Source organism: Homo sapiens, chromosome 16 (genome assembly GCF_000001405.40).
Source record: "Homo sapiens chromosome 16, GRCh38.p14 Primary Assembly".
Classification (NCBI taxonomy): Eukaryota; Metazoa; Chordata; class Mammalia; order Primates; family Hominidae; genus Homo; species Homo sapiens.
The window spans coordinates 20329815-20357641 of NC_000016.10; the positions used below are offsets into that span (position 1 = coordinate 20329815).

At 46.6% G+C, this 27827-nt stretch overlaps 1 protein-coding gene across 12 annotated transcripts; it reads right to left on the reverse strand.

The window, feature by feature from the left end:
• On the reverse strand, window positions 3237-26487 carry UMOD (uromodulin). Of its 12 annotated transcripts, XM_011545937.1 has the most exons (13): window positions 22875-22901; window positions 21316-21364; window positions 20836-20962; window positions 18622-19398; window positions 18409-18516; window positions 16312-16520; window positions 14210-14358; window positions 12600-12740; window positions 11277-11522; window positions 7477-7639; window positions 6832-6913; window positions 5668-5706; window positions 3237-3561 (listed from the first exon to the last, which is right to left on the reverse strand). In XM_011545937.1, exons 3-13 carry the CDS (start codon window positions 20921-20923, stop codon window positions 3500-3502), a joined length of 2064 nt encoding a protein of 687 aa, XP_011544239.1. In that variant the 5' UTR covers window positions 20924-20962; window positions 21316-21364; window positions 22875-22901; the 3' UTR covers window positions 3237-3499. The 12 variants fall into 12 exon arrangements, 11 of the variants coding, with proteins under 11 accessions (XP_011544239.1, XP_011544240.1, NP_001365163.1 ...); NR_165456.1 differs by lacking the exon at window positions 12600-12740 and having other exon boundaries at window positions 14210-14356; window positions 21206-21364; XM_011545938.1 differs by lacking the exons at window positions 21316-21364; window positions 22875-22901 and adding an exon at window positions 26380-26487.

Below are 27827 nucleotides of genomic sequence, written 5' to 3' on the forward strand. Positions count from 1 at the left end.
GCGCCCTGTCCAGAGTCATTTTAATAGCTGCCCAACAGGTCTCCCTGCTTTCATTCTTATTTTTGTTTGTTTTCTCCCCTGCAGCCAGAGGCCAGTGTACCATCTGTCAGCATTATCTCCCATTCCCAGCACTTTATGCTCCCTGGGATCTGACCCCTCTTTACAGTTCCAACCTCACCTATGACTTCTCCACCACACATTGCATGCTCCAGCCAATCTGTGGTTGTCTGGCCTCTTCCTCATCTTCAAGCCTTTGCATACGCTATTCCCTCAGCCTGCATCACTCTTCACCCAGCCTCCTCCTACGTTATCACCTCTTCCAGGAAGCTTTTCCTTTTTCTTTTTTTTGAGGTGGAGTTTTGCTCTTGTCACCCAGGCTGGGTGCAATGGCATGATCTTGGCTCACTGCAACCTCTGCCTCCTGGGTTCAAGTGTTTCTCCTGCCTCAGCCTCCCGAGTAGCTGAGATTACAGGCACCCGCCACCACGCCCAGCTAATTTTTGTATTTTAGTAGAGACAGCGTTTCACCATGTTGGCCAGGATGGTCTCAAACCCCTGATCTCAGGTAATCCACCTGCCTCAGCCTCCCAAAGTGCTGGGGTTACAGGCGTGAGCCACTGTGCCCGGCCCAGGAAGCCTTTCCTAACTCCACAGGTACTCCTCTTCTCTGCTCCTAGGCCTCTCAGGGCTGCTTCCAATTACACTCACCTGCCAACTTATCTGTCTCCCTCTGAAGGCTGTTAAGACCTTTGTGGACAGAGGCCAGGTGTGGTGGCTCATGCCTGTAATTCCAGCACTTTGGGAGGCACTTTGGGAGGCCAAGGTGGGCGGATGACTTGAGGTCAGGAGTTTGAGGCCAGCCTCGGCAACATGGCGAAACACCATCTCTACTAAAAATACAAAAATTATCCGGGCATAGTGGTGCATGCCTACAGTCCCAGCTACTCGGGAGGCTGAGGCAGAAGAATCGCTTGAACACAGGAGGTGGAGGTTGTAGTGAGCCGAGATCACACCATTGCACTCTAGCCTGGGCAACAGAGCGAGACTCTGTCCCCGCCCAAAAAAAAAAAGATGTTTGTGGACAGGAAGCCTGTCTCTGCAGTCCTCATCAGTACCTAGTAAGTACTTCTTGAGTAAACACATGGACAAATTCATAAAATGCATCCCTAGACCCTCTGCAGTGAGCAATTCTTCAAACTTTTGGCTGTCCAAGTGTAGGCAGTCAGCCTTGCAGGAAAGACACAAGATCCTACCTCAGGACTTTGCACCTGCTATTCTGACTGCCTGCAATGCTATTCTTCAGATATGCCCCTGGTTCACTCTTTTACTTCTTTTAGCCTCTGCTTAGCAGAGGGACTTTCTCTGATCATTTTATGTCAAATAACACCCACATTTCTCTATCCCTCATCCTTGTTTTTTCATCCCCCTCAGAACTTGTCGCCATCTATCACATTGCACATAGTTGTTGTTTAAATGTATCTGCCTTTTAAATGTAAGCTCTCTACCAGCAAGGGCTCTCTTTTGGTTATTTGCTGTTTCCATGGTACATGTAAAATTGCCTGGTATTGAATTTATGCCCCAAATATCTGTTGAAAATACTGAGCTGAATAATCGATAGAAAACAAGAAAGGCAAAGAAAAAGAACCGAGGGACTGCAGGAGTAATTCTGTTGTGCTTTTTTTTTTTATCCCAGCTCTTGTCTTTGGTCCTTATCTTTACTGATCTTGGCCCAGATTTTTCCTTTATGTTCTATTGTATTGGAGTGCAAGCACAGATGGATGTGTACGCCATCAGCCACAGACTGACCATGGCCTGACAGTGGACAGGGGCTGGGATCAGCCCATAGTCTTCCTCCACAAAGCTCTTATGTCAATGTTTTCTGTGCATGTCTGTGTGATAAGAGGCCCTTGACTTAAGACACACTGTCCTAGCAGCCCCCATTTGCTGATACACATGTGTGGATTTCCCTGGGATCAGAAAGTTCTAATAATGTACTAAGGAGGGCCTTGGCCTCTCCTGAAAAGCCACAGATGGAGTCCAGGGAAGCAGCTGGTAGCAGAGCAGACAGTTCCCATCGAAATTGGCTTTCTTCTAACCACTTGGCGCAGACGTCCAGAGACCCGTGGGGCATCGGGGTCTCCTGGAACCAGCTGCCCCATGCTGGAGACCCCCATACCCCACAAAGCATCCCCTACCAATGGGGATCATTGATCTCTTCTCCACTGTTGATGTATCCCTGGAAGTTGGTTTTCCAGGGAATCTTCTGGATTGTGAGGGAGATGTTCAATGATTGGAGGGAGTCCTGCGGACATTGCAGGCACCTGACCTTGAGTTGCTTACTCCTTATTACCCCTAAGGACTGGGAGACTCCTGGAAGCAAGGACTTACTCATCAGTATTTAATTGTCTGTCTTATTCATCAGTGTTTCCCAGCACCTAGAACAGTGCCTGGCACATATGACATGCTCAGATAAATGTTTCTGGAACACTGAAGGAACCCTCTGAGGACGTCACTATTGTCTCCATGATACAGAACCAGCAGGCTCTGGTACCCCATTATTTATTTTTCCTTTTTTTTTCTGATGACAGAGTTTTGCTCTGTCACTCAGACTAGGGTGCATTGGCACAATCTCAGCTCACTGCAGCCTCGACCTCCCAGGGTCAAGAGATTCTCTCTCCTCAGCCTCCTGAGTAGCTGGGACTACAGGCACGTGACACCATGCCCAGCTAATTTTTAAAATTTTTTTTGTAGGGGCGGGGTCTTGCTATGCTGCCCAGGCTGATCCAAACTCCTGGGCTCAAGCGATCCCCACCGCCTACTCGGCCTTCCAAAGTGCTAGGATTACAGGTGCGAGCCACTGCACCTGGCCTATGCTCTCATTTCTGAAATGCCTGACCTACTTAGAATTACTTGTTCAAGTTCCCTCTCTCCTACCAGACAAGAAACTCCAAGGAGGGCAGGGATTGTGTCTGGCTTGTTCACTGCTATATCCCCGGCAGCTAGCACATAGTAGATGCTCAGCAAATACGAATGAATAAATAGATGAAGCTCAGAGACATTGTGTATCCTATCTAAGGTCACACAGCAGAACCCAGTCTCACTGAGCAGACTGTGAACTCCATGAGGACAGTGTGGGGGGTTATTTTTTCCCACCGTAGGATCCTTAGCACCATACATAGTGCCTACATGGTAGAGTTCAGTAAATACTTGTTGAATGAATGGATGACTTCAAAGACTGAGATTTAAAAATCATTATTTTGCCACACTCTTTAAGGAGATGGGGGCCTCAGGTACACCGTCACAAGTCCCATTTTGAGAAAAAGCAGCATTTAAAGACACAGGCTGTTTCTCGACAGCCAGGATTAAAAGGGAGAAAAGAAGGCAGGCTGAACAAAGCATGAACTTTCTTTTCTGTGGCTGGAGCACTGGCCCGCATCATGCCCCCTGCCCAGCAGGAGGTGAGATGGCAGCCATGGAGCACAGGGCTTTCCGCTGTCAGTCACTGAAAAGTCAGGGTCAAGGTGGCCGAGAGAAGCAGAGGCAGCCAGACTTTCAGGAGCCCTGAAAAGAAAACAGTGACAGGGCAACTGCTAGTACTGCTGTACTTTTGTGCAAATTAACATAAGCTGCCTCGTCTAGGCTGACCAATCAGAAGAGGACACCCTCTCTGGGCTGCTCTCCTAGAAAAAGGAAGCTTCCTCCTTATCTGCCCTGAAAAAGGTGGACCGATTTGAAAAAGATAATCTTTCCTCCGGCACTAGGCTTGGTACCTCCTCAAAAGGGCAAAGGGCATTCTTGTGAAGTGCCCAATCTATCCAACCATCCTTAGAGACCTTGGGGGATAGTCACAGAGAGCAAGCCTCTTAGGAGTGCTGTGACTCTCCATCTCTGAGCTCACCAGCACTGGGCTGAACTAGTTCAGGTCAAATGCCCGGTTAGCCGGGTGGGGTGGCTCACATCTTTAACCCCAGAATTTTGGGAGGCCAAGGCAGGCAGATCTCCTGAGGTCAAGAGTTCAAGACCAGCCTGGCCACACGGAGAAACCCCATCTCTACTGGAAAATACAAAAATTAGCCGGGCGTGGTGGTGCACGCCTGTAGTTCCAGCTACTGGGCAGGCTGAGGCAGAAGAATCGCTTGAACCCAGGAGGCAGAGGTTACAGTGAGCTGAGATTTCACCACTGCACTCCAGCCTGGGTGACAGAGCAGATTCCATCTCAAAAAAAAAAAAAAAAAAAAAAGCCAAGTTAGTGTAAGAACCTCCTTGGATCCAGGTACCAGTAGCTGTTGCATAGATTTGCTTTTCACCTAGATTTTTAGACAATTCAGTGCCATGAAAACCATGGGCCATAAAAATGCCACCTGTCCCTGGCCTTTGTGGTCAGAAAAAGCAAAGAAGCAGAGAAGTGGGGGTTCTTGTTTGGCCGTTGTGTTTGCCCCAGCACTAAGCATGGTTCTTGGCATATAGTATTACTCAACGAATATTCATCACCTATTGAATGAATCTAGAAAAAGGTGTTAGAGAGGAGCCTTGGAGCTTCAGGAAGTGCCCAATATACAGATCTGGGGTATGTTCATATCCTTTGGGTACAGGTTTCCAATAAGTGTGTGTACATCTGCACACACAAATATGCATGCAGACAATTGCAGCTTTCTGTGCATCTGTACATGCAAATATAAATGCATGTACGTGACCTTGTGTGTGTGGGTAAACATGTCTGGATGACCTACATTCTCATGTGATTATCTGGGCATGCCTGTGTCTGTGTGCACATATGTACTATTGGGACACAGCATAGGTATGTGTGCATGTGTACAGCCCTAAGTCCAGGCACTCCAGGCATTTCCATAGATACAGTTGCCTCTTCAGAGCTCAAGCCCAGCCCTCCAGCACACCCTGGGACCTCAGGGAGTTAGAGGAGCAAAGAAGCAGAGAAGTGGGGTTTCTTATTTGTTGTGTTTACCCCAGAACTAAACATGGCTCTTGGCACATGGTAGCACTCAAGGAATATTTGTCACCTATTTTTTTTTTTTTTTTGAGATGGATCTTGCTTTGTTGCCAGGCTGGAGTGCAGTGGCGTGATCTTGGCTCACTGCAACCTCTGCCCCCCGTGGTTCAAGCCATTCTCCTGCCTCAGCCTCCCAAGTAGCTGGGAGGCGCGCGCCACCACACCCAGCTAACTTTTGTATTTTTAGTAGAGATGGGGTTTCACCATGTTGGCCACGATGGTCTCAATCTCTTGACCTTGTGATCCGCCCGCCTCAGCCTCCCCAAGTGCTGGGATTATAGGCGTGAGCCACTGCGCCTGGCCTATTTGTCACCTATTGAATGAATCTAGAAAAAAGTGTTAGAGAGGAGGCTTGGAGCTTCAGTAAGTGCCCAAGATGCAGATCTGGAGTGTGTGCATATCCTTTGGGTTTGTAATAAGTTTGTGTATAAAATAAGTGATCTGTATACTGGGGCACATGTCCCAGCTCTTACAATTAATAGAGAGATGCATGATCTCAGTAGGACCACTCAGGTTCTCTGAGCCACTCTCCTTATTTAGAAAACGGAACTAGTAACACCTCCCTTATAGAGTTGCTATGAAGCATTACAAGTTAACAGATAGAAGCCCCCCAGGAGAGTTCTGGAACAGGTCCCACTGCAGAAAGGACCTGAACTTACCCAAGCTGCTAAAAGCCCTTGAGACTGTGGCCTGGACACCTTTGGAGGAAAACAGAAGGATCAGTGAATAAAGAATGCATGAGATTTGGCAAGCATCCTGACAGAAACCCCTTCAATCTACTTTTCACTTCGCAGCCAGACTGATCTCTTCAAAACCCAAATCTGATCATGTTACTCCCCTACTTCAGACCCATCAGGGGCTCTCACTGCTTTCAGGAGAAAGGTCCCAACCCTTAGCAAGAACTGCAAGGCTCCACAAGGTCTGCAGCAGCTCATCCCACACAACTCCCCTGGCCTTCTCTGGGTTCCTTTAACAGGCCAGGCTCCCTCCTGCCACAGGCCCTTTGCCCAAGCTGTACTCTTGAAATGACCTTTGCAAAATTATGACTGAGACAGTGAAAGAGAGCCAACCTAGCCAACCCCATCTTGGTTCTAACTTTTAAGCTGTGCTTGTTCCTTCCTGGGTGTAGGCTGAACTAATTTGGAAGGAACTTAGTTTATAGTTTAAAACAAAGACGATAACAGCCCTTTCCAAAAACAAACCTCCTTCTTGCCTTGGGGGCTAGACTGCCTTTGTAGAACTAAGAAATTAGCTACAAGATTAGAAATTAAGGTTTAGGAGTCATGCAGCTGGAAGCCACAAGATTCTGACCCTTCCTAAACCACTCCTAAGATCAGTGCTTGAGATATTTTGTAGACCCTGCACTTAATGGATCACCCAGATCCTACACATCTACAGGGGATTATTCAAATGGCACCTTCTTCACTGATTCACAAGCTCCATGGGAGCAGGGCCATCTACTTCTGCTCATCACAAGACCTCCAGACACAGAGTAGGCACACATCTACTACAAATATGAATGTATGTTTGTGGCCTCATGTGTGTGCAAACTTGTCTGGATGATCTACATTCCTACCTGCCTGTCTGGCCTCCCCCGTGTCCTGTGTTACATTCATCTACAAATCATATTTGTCCAATGAATGGGTGTATGAATGGGAATAGTGAAAGGAAGGCAGTCTGTATTCCACCTTGCCCCAGAGGATCCACTTGCTCCCAGTTCTTCAGAGCTCAGTAAGGTGCCAAGGTGCCAGGCTCTGTTATCCCTCTTCCTCTCCAGAAATCTTTCCCAGCCAGGAATGTTGAGGAGCGAGTGGCTCTCTTACCTTTCCGTGTGATGGGACCCAAGTTCAGGACACGGGATTGATCTATGACACTCCCACTTCGGAATCTGGTCCCAGAGCAGGTCTACAGGGAGAGGGCAATAGAAAAACACCCTCCATGAAGGAGCCTGAATGTGGTTCTGCCACGTGGAGTGGACTGCCCACCTCACAGGTGCCTTCCCTTGCCCCAGGCAGAAGTTGTTAGGAGACCTGTATACCGGGGCTCGTGCAGGTCCCAGCTCTGCCATTTGTTAGATAGATGCATGATCTCAGGCAAGCCACTGAAGTTCTCTGAGCCCCTCTCCTCATGAGGAAAGGGAACCAGTAATACCTCCCTTATAGAGTTGCTGTGAAGCATTAAAAGCTAACACAAATAAAGTGGGCACAGTGCTTAAAAATGTCAGCTCCTGTTATTTGAACACAAGCTTGCAGATAAGCCAGAGCTCTTACCAGCCTGCCGCACTTTACTGATCCCACCTGATTTCCCCTGCAGCTTAGGTTTCCTGCCTAGCCACGCCCACCTCATCTTATTGCTCATTCTATCCCTCTGGTAAAAGAGGGAAACAGGGAAGAAATATTGATTTGTTTTCTTTGTGGCCAAATGTCTTTGGTTACAAGAGATGGGCTGGGGGAGGGGAGTCAACTCACAGGCTTGCACTTTTCATTCATGGTGTCACAGAGATAGACTTCACAGTGCAGGTAGACTAGGTCATAGTTTCCAGCAAACCGGAACATCTGGACGGAAAATCGGCCCTGGGAGGACTCCCCATTCTCCACCACTTGGATAGTTGAGTCTCTAGTGTGTGGGCATCTGGGAGGGTTACACATCATTTAATGTGGTTGGTTAAATAAAGATTCTGGAGTCAGACTTCCTGGATTCAAATATTGCTCTGTCACCTTTCAGCTGTGTGACTTTGGGCAACTTATTTAATCTCTGTGTACCTCAATTTCTCCATCTGTACATAAGAAATGATCGCAGCCCATGTGATAAGATAGCTGTAAGGATTAAATTCGTTAATTTCTCAAAGTGCGTAGAACTGTGTGTAGCATGCCATAGGTGCTTTATATATTTGATACTAAAGTGAAACTGTCATCAGTGCAGAGCTGAAACTATCCAAAAGTCAGCACTTCCTGATTTCCCAGCAATGACATTCAAAAATTATTAGCTGCTATGTGCTATCTACAATATGCCTGGTATAATTATAACAATGGAAACCTCTGGGTACCGAGAGCCACTGATGAAATTGGAGTGTGTGCACCCATCTGCACGTATACACAATTGCACCCAAACACAGTTAGAAGGAGAAACCCGAAATAGAGCATGCAGAGACTCCCACATGTGCTGGGCTGGGTCAGGATACCCATAGGCTTTCTGGGGAGGCAAACTGGGCACCCCCTCTGCCATTCCGCACTCTTTCCTCAAAGTTGATTTCGGAGGGAGGCTGAACACTGACTGCAAAACTGAGACGGGAGCTTCTGGGAGTGTTTTTCACTCTTAGCTCTGTGTCTCCCATAATTCAGATCTGGCTCCAAAAGTGCAGACTCTGCCTGGCAAGAGAAAAGCCCTGAGGTTAAGTGGACTCAACTCCTGAAAGGCAGACAGTATGGCCTGTGAGGGCTCCACGTGCTCAAGCCAACCTGGACATCCATGTGTCCCCTCCAGTCACTTTCACTGTCTCCCCGACTTGTCTCCTCTTTTCATGCCTTGTGATGTTCTGACACCTATCCTACACTGGTAGTTCTCACCCCAGCTCCCACACTCACCCAGATGGCAACTTATAGACACACCCTACATTTTTTCCTGCTTCTTTTTCAAAACTTTCCAAGTTTTCCGCAATGTCCCTGCTGTACTTTTATTTTATTTTATTTTTAGATGGGGTCTTGCTCTGCCACCCAGGCTGGAGTGCAGTGGTGTGATCTTGGCTCACTGCAACCTCTGCCTCCCAGTTCAAGCAATTCTCCTGTCTCAGCCTCTTGAGTAGCTAGGATTACAGGTGTGTGCCATCATGCCTGGCTAATTCTTGTATTTTTAGTACAGACAGGGTTTCACCATGTTGACCAGGCTGGTCTCGAACTCCTGACCTCGTGATCCACCTGCCTCGGCCTCCCTGCTATGCTTTATTTTTATTTTCTTGAGGTAGAGTTTCACTCTTGTTGCCCAAGCTGGAGTGCAATGGTGTGATCTTGGCTCACTGCAACCTCTGCCTCCTGGGTTCAAGCAATTCTCCTGCCTCAGCCTCCCAAGTAGCTGGGATGACAGGCGCCCACCACCATGCCTGTCTAATTTTTTTGTATTTTTAGTAGAGATGGGCTTTGCTGTATTGGCCAGGCCAGTCTTGACCTCCTGACCTCAGGTGATCTGCCTGCCTCAGCCTCCCAAAGTGCTGGGATTACAGGCGTGAGCCATCGTGCCCGTTATACTCATGAAAAACAAGTTTTAAAATCCCAGCATAGCAGGTATTATTTATCCCCATTTACGTCTGAGAATAGAAAAACCCAGAGAGATGAGCTAACCTGTTTCTTAAAGCTAAGAAATGGCAAAGCCAAGATTTGAACCCAAATCTCTGTGATACTCCAATCAAGGTCATGCCAACAGTTTCCAACTTTCAGTTCTTTTTTTCTTTATTGAGATACCACCTTTATGAGCGTTTTCCTGTGTGTCCCAACATCTGTATTATTATTTACTTACTATTTTTCTTTAAATCCACTTGTATTTTTTACTGAAATACATTTACTTACTAGAAGAATCTTTAGGTCATGAATTCAAATGGCAGACAAGTATCACTTGCATAAATAGAACAGGACCATACAATGAGGACAAGATCAACAAAAGAGTTGTATTAAGTTTGAGTTAGACTCTGCTAATTGCAAAATGCTCTGAAACAGACTTCTGCTTTATTTTTATTGCAAAGGGAGATTCCAAAGACGTGTGAACATCACATTGGCACTCACCTGAAAATATTCCCTTGGTGTAACCAGGCAGAAACAGACCACTGTCTCTCAGGAATGCTTTTTCTGACAATGCAATTAAAATTGCAAATGTCTTTCTTCTCCTGCTTTGTTTCTTCTACAACCTCTTTGTCATTAACATACTATATATTTCACTTTCATTTAATAGTTGGCCCTCCCCCTTTAGAATATAAGCTGTGTGAGGGCAGAGGTTTTTGTTTCTTCTATTTACTGTGAAATCCACAGAGCCCGACACACAGCAAGCTTCCAAAATATCTTTTCAACTTATGAACGAGAAAGTGAATCACCGTCTCATGGTAAGGTTCATAGTCATCTAGTGCCTCTTGAGTAAAAGGTAGCACACTTGTGTCCTAGTTTCAATTGGCCCTTGGCTAACCATGCCCATGTCTTACTCCTCCCCCAGGTGCTGGGCTGCCTGCTGCCCTGGGCAAGCCTTTCCATCAAGTTTCTTACCATTTTTTGAATTATAAACCCTACTCAGCTCTCTGGTGAAGCTTGTACATCCCTCCTCAGAAATAATACTTTTAAATGCCTAAAATAAAATATTTAAAAGATTATAAAGGAAATCAATTAAATTGAAGCACCATTCTCAAAATATTAAAAACATTTGCTAGCTGTGTATGGTGGTGTGTGCCTGTAGTCCCAGCTACTCATGAGGCTAAAGCTGGAGGATCGCTTGAGCCTGGGTGGTTGAGGCTGCCGTGAGCTATGATCAAGTCACTGTATTCCGGCCTGGGTGACAGAATGAGACCCTGTCTCAAAAAAACCAAACCAAATCAAACGACCAAAAAAAAAGACATTTGAAATACAAAATGCATTATATCTTTGTGTGTGTGTGTGTATATATATGTGTGTGTGTGTATATATATATATATATATATAATACATAAATATATATTTGCCAATACATATGTATTGATAATTCATTAAATAATAAGGTCTAGTGAAAATTCTAATGCTATAGTAACTAAAAAGTACTGATGACTATAAATGGCTTCACACGACCTGCTAATATTTCTGTAGTTTGTTGCCTGTATTTATAATGGATGGGAATGCTAAGGTTCAGCTAAAGGGTAATGAATATAAAGATGCAATTTTTCAGCCAGGCGTGGTGGCTCACACCTGTAATCCCAGCACTTTGGGAGGCCAAGGGGGTGGATCACTTGAGGTCAGGAGTTCAAGACCAGCCTGGTCAACATGGTGAAACCCCATCTCTACTAAAAATACAAAAATTAGCCAGGCCTGCTGGCCTCTGCCTGTAATCCCAGCTACTTGGGAGGCTGAGGCAGAAGAATCACTTGAACCCAGGAGGCGGAGGTTGCAGTGAGCCGAGGTCACACCATTGCACTCCAACCTTGGCGACAGAGCAAGACTCTGTCAAAAAAAAAAAAAAAAAAGATGCAATTTTCCTCCATCCAAGTCCAAAGACCCCCTCTGAATTCTACCCATGAGTTCCCATGTAGGAACCTTTGCCTTACCTGTCCTGGATGATGAAGTACTTCAGGGGGTCCGTGGCATTGCTACTGGGTGTGGCATAGCAGTTGGTCATGAGCAGTGCAAATCGGGACAGGTCGCCCCCATCCAACATGGTGCCCACGTAGAGAAAAGCCTCAGTGGACAGTGTCACGGAGGAGCCTTGGTAGGGCTGCGTGTAGGAAGGGGTCTGGAAGAGCGCCATCCGCACGGTGAACATGCCGGTCCCGCCCACTCTGATGTTTAGAGCACTGCCAGGGGAGAAGGGTTGGTGAGAGGACCGGGCTGAGAACATCTGCAGATAGGCCACCTTCTCTGATTTGCATTCCTAGGCAGTCCCTTGCAGTTATTTGCATTTTTATCCAGCAATAAGAGTGGAACCCACCAACTGTTGCTTTGCAAACCGCAATAAGTACACGCAGGTCAACTTGGGATCTAGATAAAATGCAGGCTCTGATTTGGTGAGTATTGGGGTGGGGCTCAAGGTCCTGCATTTCTGACAAGTGCCTGGATGCTGCTGATGCTGCTGGTCTATGGATCAATCACATCTCAAGTAACACATCCAGTCCCTCACTTGCTACTGCTATAGGCTTTGCTACCCCTGTAGCTTTCAAGATGGCAAAAAAACAAATTATTGACAGGAACACCTGGATTCCTTCTTTGGTCTCAATCTAGAACAGGTTAAAAGGTATTGAGCTATGATGAGGCCTACAACTTGCGTCCTGGCCTCCATCGTGATGTACTAACATCTATATCAGAAGATTGAGGTTTATAAATGAGTTATTTTTAACCACACTGAAAACAGCCACACTGATGTGAACTTCACTGGATGATCCAACAAAGGACATTGTAAGGCTGATGCCTCATGAAATAAGGCACATGAGAAATACTCCGAAATGTGGAAGTCCATTTTACAGATGAGAACTGAGTTATCAGTGAAGACTGGGGTGAGATGTCTAACTCGAGACAGAGAGAGGGACCAGGTGCTGTGGCTCACGCCTGTAATCCCAATACTTTAGGAGGCATACGCAGGAGGATCATTTGAGGCCAGGAGTTTAAGACTAGCCTGGTCCATGTAACAAGACCCTGTCTCTATAAAAATATTTTTAAAAATAGCCCAGGGTGGTGTGGTGGCATGTGTCTGTAGTCCTAGCCACCTGGGAGACTGAGGTGGGAGGATTGCTTGAGACCAGGAATTTGAGGCTGCATTGAGCTATGATTGTGCCACTGCACTCCAGCCTGGGTGACAGAGTGAGACCTGGATTCGTAACAAAACAAAACCATAAAACAGAGAGATGTGGGCACACTTGTTGTTCCCCAGAGCCTACCAGGCCGAGGACGGGGCCACATTGCTCCAGGACACTGCTAGGCCAGGTGAGGTTCCAGCCAACAGCTTGCAATGAGCACTCTTCTTCCTCCAAGTCAGCTGTGCACCCTCATCAGTGCCCAGCATCCTTTCCTGAGTCTGGCTGGCCAAGAGAGCAGAAAACCATGGGCAAGCTTCGAAGGGAAGGTCATGGTCAAGTGGAGGCTCTGGACCTGATGTCTGAATCCCAGCTCTATCACTTGCTAGACTTTACAGCTTTGGGTAAGTCACTCAAACTTCTGTGAGCCTCAATTTCCACATCAGTATAATGGGAATAGTAATAATAATGATACCTTTATCTCCTAGGGCTGCTGTAAGAGTTTGATGAGATGTTCCAGGCAGAACACTGGCTATAATGCCTGAGATATAGTAAGCTCTCAATAAATCTTAGTTCTTGGCAGGGCACGGTGGCTCACACCTATAATCCCAGCACTTTGGGAGGCCGAGGTGGGTGGATTGCCTGAGGTCAGGAGTTTGAGACCAGCCTGGCCAACATGGTGAAACCCCGTCTCTACTAAAAATACAAAACTTAGCTGGGTGTGGTGGTGGGCACCTATAATCCTAGCTGCTTGGGAGGCTGAGGCAGGAGAATCACTGGAACCTGGGAGGCGGAGGTTGAAGTGAGCCAAGATCATGCCATTGAACTCCAGCCTGGGCGACAGTACGAGACTCCGTCTCAATAAATAAATAAATAAATAAATAAATAATCAATAAATCTTATTTCTTATTACAACTATAATTTTCCATCATTGGCCTGTGATTCATCCTATTTGAAGATTTTCAATTTTATTTAGCAACAGATTCCTTTTAAAAAAAATAAAATAAAATACTACGTGGCACCCAGTATGAATAGTTTACCCCTGTAGGCACTCTGCCAGGGCACCTCCCTTGGCCCCTACCAAGACACTTGCAAGGAGCGTAATTTTTAAAATCCTCTTTAATCAAATTCCTTTCATTCACAGAGAAGGAAAGAAGTTGAGGTCCAAATATGAAATATGATTTGCCCAGCATTCCATAGCAGTCTGGACTGAGACCATTCCTGCTCTCTGGCACAACCACCCTGCCTCTTTGAAAAGTAGAGACTTTAATATTTGATTCACATCTGAATCATCTACATCAGTTTAATGGTTGAATCTGATTCACATCACAATCATAGCTCTAAGCAGCCTCAAATTCCTGGGCTCAAGCGATCCTCCCATATCATTTAATTCTTAGAGTACTATTAAACCCATTTCACAGATGAAAATATTGACACCTAGAGAGGGACTATCAATTTCCCAAAGCCAGGCTTAATAACTCACTCAAGCTCATACAACTAGTAAGTGACAGAGCTGGGGCTTGAACCAGGCAGTGCTTTGACTCTGTCCCCCACTGGCCAGGGCATAACCATCATTTATGACAAAGTCTAGATTTGAACCTGGGCTCCAGAATTCCTGGCTCTTCCATTGGGCAACCCTGATTCCCAGCCCTCACTCCCAGCTCCCTGTGGGTGGCAGTTGACAGGGAAGCTCATGGTTAAGGGGTTTGGGGTTAGAACCATCTAGGGGCCCTAGGGACCCTCTCTGGCCACACCTGACCATTGGCTGTAGGGCGGTCTTCAGGCTGACTTTCATGTCCAGGGGGTAGGAGCATGCAAAGTTGATTTTGATGTTGAGGTCACGGATGATGATCTCATCTGCCAGGTAGAGGGTGTTGCTGTAAGTGGCATGGGTTTCATTCCTCTGTTGCAGGGAATGGGGGTGGAGGGGGGGTGGGGATGAGAGAAAGGGGCATGAGAATCTGAGTAGGACTTCAAAGCTAAATCTGCTGGTCTCATGTCTGGCTACTTGTGAGCCGCTCTCCTAGTCTCCTTGATAAAAAGCTGCCTGTGGCCGGGCGCATTAGCTCACGCTTGTAATCCCAGCACTTTGGGAGGCCGAGGCAGGCGGATCACCTGAGGTCAGGAGTTCGAGACCAGCCTGTCCAATATGGTGAAACCCTGTCTCTACTAAAAATACAAAAAGTAGCCGGGCGTGGTGGTGGGTGCCTGTAATCCCAACTACTCGGGAGGCTGAGACAGGAGAATCGCTTGAACCCGGGAGGCAGAGCTTGCAATGAGCCAAGATCGTGCCACTGCACTTTAGCCTCGGCGACAGGGAGATTCCATCTCAAAAAAAAAAAAAAAAATCCCACAACAGTTAAAAACTCCCTGTGCAGCCTGAACAACGAGCCAATTAATCATCTTTTCTTTATAAATTAGAAAAAAAAAGTTACAACAGCAATGACCATTCATGCGCATATGTCATGTGCCAGACCCCGAGTGGAATACCCCTCCTGAGTCATAGCATTAGTTCCTTCAGTGACCCTAACAAGTGGCGCTGCCACATCCCTGCTTCCCAGACAAGAAGACAGAGATTCATAGTAACAGAGTCACTGAGGGATTGCCCACAATATGTGACATCTCACAAGACTAGACTGTTTTCAGCACCCCGTGCTTCCTCTCTTGAAAACTGAAAACCATATGCCAAGTCACCATCAATGGAATTTCAAATGCCATCCTTGGAAAATGACATGAATTATTTCTTTTTGTTTGTTTGTTTTGGGACAGAGTCTCACTCTGTCACCCAGGCTGGAGTGCAGTGGTGCAATCTCGGCTCACTGCAACCTCTGCTTCCTGGGTTCAAGTGATTCTCCTGCCTCAGCCTCCCGAGTAGCTGGGATTACAGGTGCCCACCAACAGGTCCAGCAAATTTTTGTATTTTTAGTAGAGAAGGGGTTTCTCTGTGTTGGCCAGGCTGGTCTCAAACTCCTGACCTCAAGTTATCCACCCGCCTCGGCCCCCCAAAGTGCTGGGATTACAGGCGTGAGCCACCATGCCCGGCCAACATTAAATCTTTCTTTTTCTTTCTTTCTTTCTTTCTTCTTTCCTTCTTTCTTCCTTTCTTCCTTCCTTCCTTTCTTTTCTTTTTTTTTCTTTCTTTCTTTCTTTCTTTCTTTCTCTTTCTTTCTTTCTTCCTTTCTTCCTTTCTTTCCTTCCTTCCTTCCTTCCTTCCCTCCCTCCCTCCCTCCCTCCCTTCCTTCCTTCCTTCCTTCCTTCCTTCCTTCCCTCTCTCTCTTTTTCTCTTTCTTTCTTTCTTTCCTTCCTTCTCTTTCTTTCTTCCTCTCTTTCTCTTTCTTTCTTCCTCTGGTAATGAGGGAGGTGGCAGGAGATAATGCTCTGCTCACACAAACATTTACCTCTGGGTTTCATTTGAGGAGGCCTCTGTAGGTGAGGTCCTGATTCTCTGTACATTAAGGATACAGACCTTGCCTTCCAGGACCACTGGAGACAAATAGACTAGTTTCTGAACCCAATGCTGATGCCTACTGGCTGAGACAATCCCTACTATGGCCCTACTTTTCCCATCTGTAAAATGGAGAACTATCACCATGAATTGCTTTCTTTATTTGAAGCTGATGTTTATTGAGCACTTACTGTGTGCAGTCACTGTCCTAATCACTTCAACACATTAACTCATTCAATCCTCTCAATACACCTGTGGAGTAGGTACTATTATTTCTCCACTTTACAGTTGATGAAACTGAGGCACAGCCAGGCTAAATAACTCCCCAAAGCTTCTATAACTAGGAAGTGATAGAGCTGAAGCTTGAACCAGGCAGTGCTCTGGTTCTGTCCCCCACTGGCCAGGACGTACCGTCAACACTGTCCCACAGGGGCCATCCCGGGCTGGGGTCACTACAGACACCCAGTCCCGGTTGTCTCTGTCATTGAAGCCCGAGCACCGGCTGTCACTCAGGTACATGAAGACCTTGTCGAAGCCCAGACTCTTCAGCTGGCACTTGCCCAGCGACACCTTCATGTCATTGGCCCCACATTCCAGCCTGTGCTCCAGGAGGGAGATATCTGAAACAGGTTAGGTGGGATTGAGGACGTGTGTCTATAGCTTGGGGGCCCAGCACATCCCCAGGGGCCAGGTCCAGCTGGCTGGGCTGACCACCATCTGGAAGTGCTCAGCATAGCCTTGAGCTGATCTGTCCCCTCCCAATGTGATGGGGACTCAAGATTGGACCTCTGACATCAATGGATACATCCACTGACCAACCACTCAGTCTTGGGTTCCCCTAAATGTGGGTTATATACCAAATGCAGGACGGTTTTGGGGGGTTTTGATGTCCCAGCATTAAATAACAATGAATACTCGTTTAAAAAAATAAAAAGGCTAGATGCGGTGGCTCATGCCTATAATCCTAGCACTTTGGGAGGCCAAGGCAGACAGATTACTTGAGGTCCAGAGGTCAATTTCCTTGTCTATAAAATGAGAATACGCATCTCCCACAGTAGTAATAGTAGCCAAAGGAGATGATGCAAGTTACATATGTATACATATGTAACAAACCTGCACGTTGTGCACATGTACCCTAGAACGTGAAGTATAATAAAAAAAAGAAAGAGAGAAAGAAAGAAAGAAAGAAAGAAAGAAAGAAAAAGCAAGCAAGCTGCAATTACTTTCTACCCTTTTCACATCAAGGAGACAGTCCCAGCTTGCCACTAATGTCTTTAATGCCATGTACTCACTAACTTCCCTCTCTCTCTCTTTTTTTTGAGACGGAGTTTCTCTCTTCGGCGACAAGCCCAGGCTGGAATGCAGAGGTGCCATCTTGGCTCACTGCAACCTCCGCATCCTGGGTTCAAGTGATTCTCCTGCCTCAGCCTCCCGAGTAGCTGGAATTACAGGCACCTGCCACCAGACTCACCTAGTTTTTGTATTTTTAGTAGAGATGGGATTTTGCCATGTTGGCCAGGCTGGTCTTGAACTCCTGACCTCAGGTGATCTGCCCGCTGCGGCCTCCCAAAGTGCTGGGATTACAGGCATGAGCCACTGCGCCCGGCCCACTAACTTCCCTCTCAAACAGAGAGCAGGCCTCGGGCTGAGAGTTTGGGGCAGGAAACAACATCCAGCCAGAATTCTTGTTTAATTTTTTAAAAATTGAAGTATTTTTCTAATTTTTAGTATTTATTTTTTAAAATTTGTTTTATGGAAGTATTACACAACTGCTGAAATTTAGTAACCTTCTTTTCTTTTTAGTAACTTTTATTTTTACAGTTAACTTTCTGTCTAAGGTAAGCATAACTTGCCACAGACAGATGAAGTCCTGACCATCAACATTCCAAATTTGCTTAAGAGATTCAGTCCATTAGAAGAAAAACAACTTAATAAAAGTCATGGCACAGGTAACACTTGGATAAAGCAAGTGAACCAGGGTGCCAATTGTAAAGTTGGCACTTGGATGTAACTAAAATCATGACTGAAGTCTGAAAATACTATTTTCATCTTCAATAATTGTACCTATGAGAAATCTGAGGCTTGTGCCTGGCCCGGAGTACTGAGCTGATTGGTGGACTGGTCATCAGGCCTGAGCTGATTGGTGGACTGCTCACCGGGCCGGGCTTGTGTTCTGGTGCTGCAGGAATAGGGCTCAGATGGTCTTTGGCTCCCAGATGGCAGCAACGTGGGTGCCCACTGTGGTGTGGGCCTCAGAAAGAAGGCTGGGTGCGAGGAGGTCCCCAAATCTTTGGCAGCTTTGAAGTCAACTAAAGGGAGACTCAGGGAGCCTCAGAGAGCCTCTTGCCGGCTTTAATGGGTATTAGTGGATCTTCTGTTTTCACTCAGGTTGGATATATATCCCCTGCGTCATACCCATATGGCCCCAATCTCACAGGGGAGGAATGTGTCCCTCCCCCAGGCAGTGACAGGTTTCTCAACAACCCGCTTCCTCCCCACTGGCCTCACCAGTGATGTTGAAGTCCTGTTTGCACTGGCAGTGCCATCTGCCATTATTCGATTTGCAGTCCTCGTCTATACTGCACTCCTCACACGTCCCCTCCACGGAGCTGGGGTCTGCAGGGTCACAGGGACAGACAGACAATCAATAAGGACGCACCCCCGTCCTCTGCAGTGCCTTTCCAGGCCTGGGATGAGGACTGTGGGGAGACTCCGGCTGACCTGTGCAGTACGCCAGGTGACACTCGGGGGGCGCTGTCAGGTTGTAGACGTAGTAGCCGCCGGCACAGGCCTTCACCTGGACGGACGCATCCCACAGGCAGCAGTGGCCGCTCCAGTGCGCGCAGGCCTTGCGGCTCACGATGCCCTCGTCGCTGGACGGATGCGTGCCATTGAGCCACATGGGGGCGGCCGTGTTGCAGCGCAGGACTGGCACGCAGGTCTCGGCCATGCGCGCACCGCCCTGGCCCACGAAGCGGTACCAGCCGCGCAGGTCCGTGTCGCAGGCGTAGCCCTCCCCGTACTCGGTGCTGCGCCAGTACTCGTCCAGGGTGCGGTGCGCCTGGCACGGATCCGCGCACACGAGCGCGTCGCCCTCGGGCACGCAGTCCAACCCCGGCCCGCAGGAGCCCGGGGAGCACTCACAGTGCCATCCATCCCCCCGGTAGCCCGCGGGGCATACGCACAAGTAGCTGCCCACCACATTGACACATGTGGCCAGGGCGTGGCAGTGGCTAAGCCCAGGCTCAGCGCACTCATCCACGTCTGTGCAGCCGAGACCGGGCGACAGGCGGAAGCCTTCGGGGCAGACGCAGGAGAAGGAGCCTGGCGTGTTTACGCAGCTGCTGTTGGCGGAGCAGTTGTGAGCTCCAGGAATGGCGCACTCATCCAGGTCCACGCAGGTCAGGCCATCGCCGGTGAAGCCCTCCTGACAGGTGCACGTCGTAACGGCCTCATCCTCCGTGCAGGTGGCATTGCTGTGACATTCAGAGCACCATCCTGTGGACAGAAAAGCCCAGCTTCAGGGTTTGGGCAGCTGGGCCCATGGCCACCCAGAGATCCTTCCCTCATTCTCCAGGGAACTCATTATTTTTAAGACTTATTCCCTAGAGGGCTCCCTCCAAAACAAGGAAAGAAGCAAAGAAACAAAACTCCTCTGATGATGTCAAGCCTCCACCGTTCATTCTGTGTTTATTTCATTGTATTTTTTAACTTTATTTATTTTTTTGGAGAGGGGTCTTGCTCTGTCGCCCAGGCTGGAGTGCAGTAGTGCGATCATAGCTCACCATAGCCTCCAATTCCTGGGTTCAAGCGTTCTACTCCCTGAGTTCAAGCCACCACCGCACCCTGCCTCAGCTTCCCAAAAAGTTGGGACCACAGGCACGTGCAATCGCGCCCAGCTCCACCATTCATTTTTTGTGTTAAGCATTGCTTTCAAGCTGTCTTCTTTTAAAATAGCCACATTCAGAAAAGTAATGCGCAGAATTCCTATACTTTGGTAGGATTTACGGTGAACCTGTTGCCCCTCCCTTTCTTTGCACATTTTATGTTTTCTGCTTCCCTGGCTGGTGAAATCTTCATCAGGACCCTGCTCAGTGTCGCCTCCTCTCTGCGGAGTCCTCCAACTCCACCTGGCTGGGCAGTTGTACTTTGTTCCTCCGTAATAAAAATAACCATTAAAAAAAAAAAGAAGCTGTTGTTTATTAAGCAATTACTATATGCCAGGCAATAGGATGTGCACTTTTCACTCACTATCTTGTTGAATACTTCCCAAGGGCCTCGTGAGGTCAGTTTTTTATGTATCCTTATTTTAAAGATGAGGAGACTGAGGTTCAGAGGGATTAAGCCCCTTACTCCTTTGGTAAGAAGTAGAACCAGGATAAAAACGCAGATGGCAGGACCACAAAATATGTGCTTTTAACCAGGACACCGCAATAGTATTCATCGTGCCCCAACGTACTCCAGGGAGAAAATGAAAGTGGGGTGACAGCAAATCTCAACCCAATGGAATGACCTCTTAAAGTTGAAAGGGAAGGTGTTTGGATCCTCCTGCATGGGTTCAAATCTCCTATGTGATAGAGTATGTTTCTGACTTCCAATAAAGGGCCTGCAGGCCTTAGAGATGTTCTAGCCCCTTGCTTTTCAATGTGTACTCCAGGGACCCCAGTATGAGCATCGCCTGGAAGCTTGTTAAAAATTCAGCATCTCAGGTCCTACTGCAGATCTGCTGAACCAGAATATGCACTTTAGCAAAATTTCTAAGTCAGTCCTGTGCATATTGAGTCTAAGAAATGGACTTAGAATGAAGACAATGCAAGTCTCAAGTGCGATAGGAGGATTGAGATCACCTCTGACAGGTGCTACATTGCTTCCCCCACACATTCACACATACACGTGCATACACACATATACAACGCACACACACTTTTCACTTACTTGCTTCTGAGGTGTCAGTGGCTGCAGTTGTGATGAACCAAGAGGCCACCACCACCATCAGCATCCAAGTCAGAGATGGCTGCCCCATCCTTTCTGCTCTTCCCGCTACTTCAGGTCTAGATAGCACCTGCCCAAAGGAAAGACGGGTTGGCCCTTTGAATTTTTCTCTCTGTCTCTGATGTCTGGTGTCCTGTGAACAGAGATGGATGGGACAAATGCATGATCTAACTCTCCTCCCCACAGCTGGAAGGAGTGCTTTGATTGTATAGTATACAACTCCAGGAGGTGTCACTTATATGGACTAAAAAATTGCATAACACTGCAGCCCTTGTTTTGCTGGGACTTTACCCCTTGTACTCCCCCTCCTTACCTCACCAACATCCCAGTCTTGGCTCCCCAATTCTCAGCACATTGCACATTTTGAAGAACTCAGTCATTTGGAGCAGGAAGTAGCCAGATGGAATAGTGTTCTGGACTCACCACTTTACTGAAGGCAGCTTTGGATTTTAACTGATCCTCTGCCTGGAAACTTTCAATTTGCCTGGATCACTTATTCATTCAACAAACATCTATTGAGTAGCTACATTGTGCCAAACAGGGAGCTAGTCACCATGGAGAACAATGAACATGGCAGTCTGCTCCTTCATGCAACTCACATATCGTAAAGAAGTGGCTTGAGACGAGCAACTTGAGAGGTAATTAACCTTCACAATGCATTTAAATGTTTCTGGAGTGGTCACTTACTATTTCTTCCAATTGGAAAAATAGTCCAGGGTGGATGCCAGTATTACCCCAGTGTTTATAGCAGCAAAATAGGGTGGCATGTTGGTTAAGTATGTAGGAGCTGCAGCCTGCACCTGAGGTTCAAATCCCTGCTTTACTGATCACTAACACTGTGATGTGGGTATTTCAGTTTACTAAGTCTCCGTTTTTGTCTGTGAAATGGAGATTGTTGCTTTCACAAACTGAATATCTATGATGGGCCAGGCTCAGTTCAAAGACATTCATGTGCTCAAAGGCATTGGGTCCTAGAGCAACGTTTTCCAGATCTTCGTGACCATGATGTACTAAAAGAAAAACATTTTATGTTGCCAGGTGCAGTGGCTCATGCCTGTAATCCCAACACTTTGGGAGACTGAGGGGGTGGATCACAAGGTCAGGAGTTTGAGACCAGCCTGGCCAGCATGGTGAAACCCCATCTCTAATAAAAATACAAAAATTAGCCGGGCATGGTGGTGGGCGCCTGTAATCCCAGCTACTCGGGAGGCTGAGACAGGAGGATTGCTTGAACCTGGGAGGCAGAGGTTGCAGTGAGCTGAGATCGTGCCACTGCACTCCTGCCTGGGTGACAGAGAGTCCATCCCCCCCCCCCAAAAAAAAAAAGACAGAAAGAAAGAAAAACATTTTATGTCATGATCTAGTGCAGTCGCTTCTGCATGTATGTGCACACACACATAAAATTTTATAAGACAATTGATATCCTTACTACATTAAGTGATTTAATTCTTACCACAACCCTATGAGATAAGTATTATCCTAGTTTGCAGATGAGAAAACAGGGGGACAAAGAGGCTAACTGCTTGCCTCAAATTTGTATTGCTTACTGACATATTCTATTATATTTAATTAAAAGAAGTCCCTGGATATAACCCACAAAAGGAATGATTTTATGACCCGCTAATAAGATGCGACCTAAAACACTGCATATTGTCACTGGGATTAACTAAGATGACATATGTCGAGCAGGGCCCAGCACATAGCAAGTTGTTCATTGTTGTAACCCTGGTACCTGGCACATAATAGGTGCATAACTAATATTCATGGAATAAGTCAAAAAATAGTAGTCATTGTTACTAGGACAGAGAGGATCAAAGAGAGGAAAACTAACTTACTAAAGATCATGAAGCCAATAATTGGCAGAATAATGACTCAAATCCAGGTCTGACCCCAGTGTCCAAGGTCTTAATTTCCTCTCCTACCTCCCTCAAATAGGATGGGGAGAAGCTGGGCTAGGAGAAGACAGCTACAGATAGCCTTACCTGAAGCCAGAAAGGTAGAGTTAGTCTGGTCATGATGTGCCTCATACTTATATATACACATTTGCCCCAGGCTGGCAATCTCTCCTCCAATTAGTCTCTAGTTCTGTTTTTTGATATTGTTTTCTTGGGGGTGGAATATTTTTTCCTCCTGGCATAATGTTTGCCTTGTCCAAGCTGTGAGGTTGTTGTTGTTCTTTTTCCTAATAGCTAGAGACCCCAAATGATTGACATTGGGGGGTCACACCTGTGCCCGGAAATACAAGGTCACTGTTTCGCACCTTCTAACAGCAAGAGATTCCATAGTTAGAAATTAACTGGGAAAGCAGTGCCAAGGTGCTGGGCTTCTTCTTGGTCACTGACAAGGGCAGGGTGGGATCAAGGAGCCAGGCAGAAGCCAGTATCTGAAGCCAGGCTGCATAAGGACAAAAGGGATATTCACTGCCCCAGATGGGAGGTGCACCTGTCTTGGAGAGGGCACCCTTCTGAAACACCCATTCTCATGAGATCAGCCTTAGAATCCAGACACAAGCAAGAGAGGAGCTGAGAATGGCTGAAAGTCAGAACCAGAAGGTAGTTCAGACATCACTGGACCTGACCCACTCTGTACAACAAAGAATCAGGTCTGATGACTGGGAGGTCCCTTTGGAGGCGAAATAAATTTGCACTTAAATAGACTGACTTTGGAGTCAGTCTGCCTCCTTTATCTGGTGTTTATTGTGTGGCAGTGGGCTCATTTCTTAACCTTCCTGAGGTCCAGAGGTCAATTTCCTTGTCTATAAAATGAGAATACCCATCTCCCACAGTAGTAATAGTAACCAAAGGAGATGATGCAAGTAAAGTCATATAGTAATGATTATATTCATGGAAGTAGTGAAAATTCTGCTTTGCTGTTGTGCAATCACTGAGGTAGAAAATGACAGAGCCTGAGTTAAAACCATGTCTTCAGACCCAGTTCAACATACATGACATTCCAAAAGTCAGTGTGAGAGTGGCTGTCATCATGTTGAGAAAAATAAAATATGTGTGAACTTGGGCTGAGCAGGAAAATATCACCATGATCACTGCATTGATCTTTTTTTTTTTTATACTTTAAGTTTTAGGGTACAAGTGCACAACGTGCAGGTTTGTTACATATGTATACATGTGCCATGTTGATGTGCTGCACCCATTAACTTGTCATTTACATTAGGTATAACTCCTAATGCTATCCCTCCCCGCTCCCCGCATCCCACAATAGGCCCCTGGGTGTGATGTTCCCCTTCCTGTGTCCAAGTGCTCTCATTGTTCAATTCCCACCTGTGAGTGAGAACATGCGGTGTTTGGTTTTTTGTCCTTGCGATAGTTTGCTGAGAATGATGGTTTCCATCTTCATCCATGTCCCTACAAAGGACATGAACTCATATTTTTTATGGCTGCATAGTATTCCACGGTGTATATGTGCCACATTTTCTTAATCCAGTCTATCATTGATGGACATTTGAGTTGGTTCCAAGTCTTTGCTATTGTGAATTGCTCTTTTCAGGACATTTCTCCATCCTGTCCCACTCAGTGGTAGGGTAACCACTGGCACTGGTGTTGTCATCTCCTCAGGATTATGTCCAAGGAGTGGAAATTCTGGGTCAAAGAGGTAGCACAGCTGTAGGAATATTGACTCCTCTTCCCAAACAGCACCCCAGAGAATTATTATAAATTGGTTTACAATCCCACCAACACTACTCACCAGTTCTGAGCATTGGTAACTTGCTTTCATCTTTGCCAAAAGGATAAGTGGAAACGATCTCATTATTGTTCATTTTTGCAATTCTTTGATGAAAAGGGAAGTTATCTCTTCATTTATTTACTTTTTTTTTTCTGAACTAGTCGTTTTTATCCTATACCTTTTTCATGAGGCCTTGTCTAAACCTTATTATGGGTGTCTTCAAAGGATTAAAGACAGTGACCCCAGGTGGCTTCTGGAGTTTTCTTGACAAAGACTTGGGCAGGAAAATGGGGAGTTTGGGTTGGAATCTATTCATAAGTGTAATCACCATGCTTTCTAGTTTCTGTATTTGGTGCTTGTACATTTTGGGGCCTTACTGATCATGGAGGGACTGCCCCTCCCAGGGCTCAATAATTACTAGAGATCAAAAACGACTTATCTGTGAATGTGCCTTTCCGACTGCAAATCAATCAATCCAGACCACATACCCCCAACCCTTGGCCTCCTTTTTGGGGCTTTTACACTTAGGGTCACTACTTGCTGCTTTAGATCACCCCAAGGGACCAGGTACCAGACAACTAGAGACAACTCCTATGGCCCAGAGGTCTCTGAAATTATTCAAACTAAGCCAATCCTAAATCTGCTTACCTTGCCTCTCCCATTCCTTCCTGCAGAAACTACAATAAAGGCTCTTTCCTGCCTTTTCCCTTGCTCTCTTTGCTTCCTGACCGACCCTGGTACTTCCCAGCAGCTCTTCCTCTCCCTTCAGCCCCTCTGCCCAGTGTGGTGTGTCCCCTTCTCTTGGGATCTGTGAGTATAACAAGTTGTCAGTGGCCATAATTTCCTGCTCTGTTGCTCATCAAGTTCACCAAAGACATCCATGTTACCAAATTCAATCAATATTTTTCTCTTTATCTTACCTCTAGGACAGTGCACAATAAATATTTGTTTTTGAACGAACCTTAATCTCTCAGCACTTCGCTCTTGAAACACTCTTCTTTCTTTCTTTCTTTTTCTTCTTCTTTTTTTTTTTTTTAATGGAGTCTTGCTCTGTCACCCAGGTTGGAGTGCAGTGGCTCAGTCTTGGCTCACTGCAACCTCCACCTCCCAAGTTCAAGTGATTCTCTTGAATCCTTGAATCCTCAGCCTCCCGAGTAGCTGGGATTACAGGTGCATACCACCATGCCCGGCTAATTTGTGTTTTTTTTGTACACATTGGCCAGGCTGGTCTCGAACTCCTGACCTCAGGTAATCTGCCTGCCTCGGCCTCCCAAAGTGCTGGGATTACAGACATGAGCCACCACAACCAGCCTGAAACACTTTTCTCTCTTAACTTTCAAACATGGGTAGGAGACTTGATCTTAATAATGCTGAGAACAATCACCCACTGAGCACTTCTCTTGGGTCAGACACTGTGCTCAGTGCTTTTGCCTCCATTGTCTCAAACAATGAAACACAACAACCCACGTCACAGGGAAGAAGACAAGTTCAGAGAGGTGGAGTAACTCCCCCAAGATTACACAGCTAGCGAGTGTTAAATCCAGACTAAAACTCAAATCTCACTCAGATTTACCTGCATTCCTTGGGTTACAGAACATTCCATGCTCAGCCATGACAGGGTCTTAGAAGGATAAGTGGTTTTAGGTAGTTTTGGAAAGAGTGAAACTAAAGGGTGGAGAGTTTTGAAAAATTGATCAAACAGAACACAAAAACTTAGAATGAGAGGTTGGTGTGTGTCAGAAAGCGGCAAAAAATGAGCCAAGGGAGAAGATCCCCCAAAAGAGGGGTATTACCTGTCCCACCTACCTCTCTGAGCACACACCTCCTGAGGCTCCAGTTACGCCTGGGGGACCTGGAGGTGGCACACCCATTCTCTGGCTCGTGGCCTGTCAGGGGCTCTATGCCACATGATCTAGTCTAGGCAGCCCCCCGTAACCCTCCTTCAACTGGCAGCCACATGACCTCAAGGCCGAGGCAGGTGAGCCTTACACCGTGTCCTGAATACTAACACCTGCTCCTGTTGGGGAATTCGGCTCAGGTGAGTTCCAGAGCCGCAGGCTGTTCCCTGCTTCCTCTGGTTGTGGACAGGCCAGGTTCAGGGTGAGGGGCATGGGAGCTGTCTCTGGAGGTATGAGAAAGCACAAATAGCCTTTGCCTTACATGACAGGTGAGGAGTGGAGAGACCCAGGTGGTTTCTAGAGACCTCAATTTCTAAAAGAATGCTGCCCTTCTTTTCTCAAGAGAAGGCCTGGCTGAAATGAATGACACAAATCCATGAGTTAAATCTGTGGTAGGCTGAATAATGACCCCCAAATACGTTCACCTCTGAATCCCCAAACCTGTGTGTGTTGCCTTTTATGGCAAAAGGGACTGTGCAGTGTGATTACAGATCCTGAGATGGAGAGGTTGTCTGGGCAGGCTGGATGCAATCACAGTGGTGCCTATAAAAGTGATGCAGGAGGAGTCAGAGGAAGTAGGTGTAAGGATGAAATGAAAAGTCAGAGTGATTCTAGGACAGAACCATAAACCAAGGAATGCAGGGGCCTCCCAGAAGCTAGAAAAGGCATAGCAGGGAATTCATCCAAAAGGGACTAACTCGTGAATTTAGTCCAGTGGAATTGATTTCTAATTTCTAGCCTCCAGAACTCTAAGAGAGTAAGTTTGTGTTGTTTTAAGCCACTTAAGTGTTAATTTGTCAGATCAAAAATAGGGAACGAATACAGATTCCAGTTTGGATCTGGGGACAACACTGTCAGCACCTCTGCCTTTTGGGATGACTATGAAATTATGTATTTCTCACCTAAAATGGAATATTTGATTGATCCACGAGCATTTATTGAGCATCTACTATGTGTCAAGCAGAGTTCTAGGCAAAGGGAATACGGCAAGAAAAAAAACAATAGATATATCTACTTTCGTGGAGCTTACATATTAATTGGAGAATCAGGCAATATATCATTGCACAACAAAATAAGATGCTTTCAATTTTTAGTCTCCAGGAATGCCTTTTGGAGGTGGTGACAGGTGAGCTGAGATTTGAACCAAGAAAAGAACATGGCTATGTGAGGAACTGGGGGAAATGTATTTTGAAGGGAGTGCATTTAGGCAGAGGGAACATGAGGAGAGAGTGAATTTGGCTTGTTCATAGAGTAGACAGGAAGTGTGGCTGGGGCCTAGAATGTGAGGGGGAGAGGGAGAGGAGGAGATCTGTGGGGCCAGACCTTTCAAGGTGTTGAAGGCATGGTAGGCAGACT

Excerpts from the sequence above, each read along its gene's own strand:
- UMOD (XM_011545938.1), bottom strand. The coding sequence starts at position 20,923 with ATGGGGCAGCCATCTCTGACTTGGATGCTGATGGTGGTGGTGGCCTCT. Across the intron at positions 16,521-18,408 it reads ACAGGACTTCAACATCACTG|ATATCTCCCTCCTGGAGCAC; the intron begins GTGAGGCCAGTG and ends AACCTGTTTCAG. Across the intron at positions 12,741-14,209 it reads GCCCTACAGCCAATGGTCAG|CCAGACTCAGGAAAGGATGC; the intron begins GTGTGGCCAGAG and ends TCTCTTGGCCAG.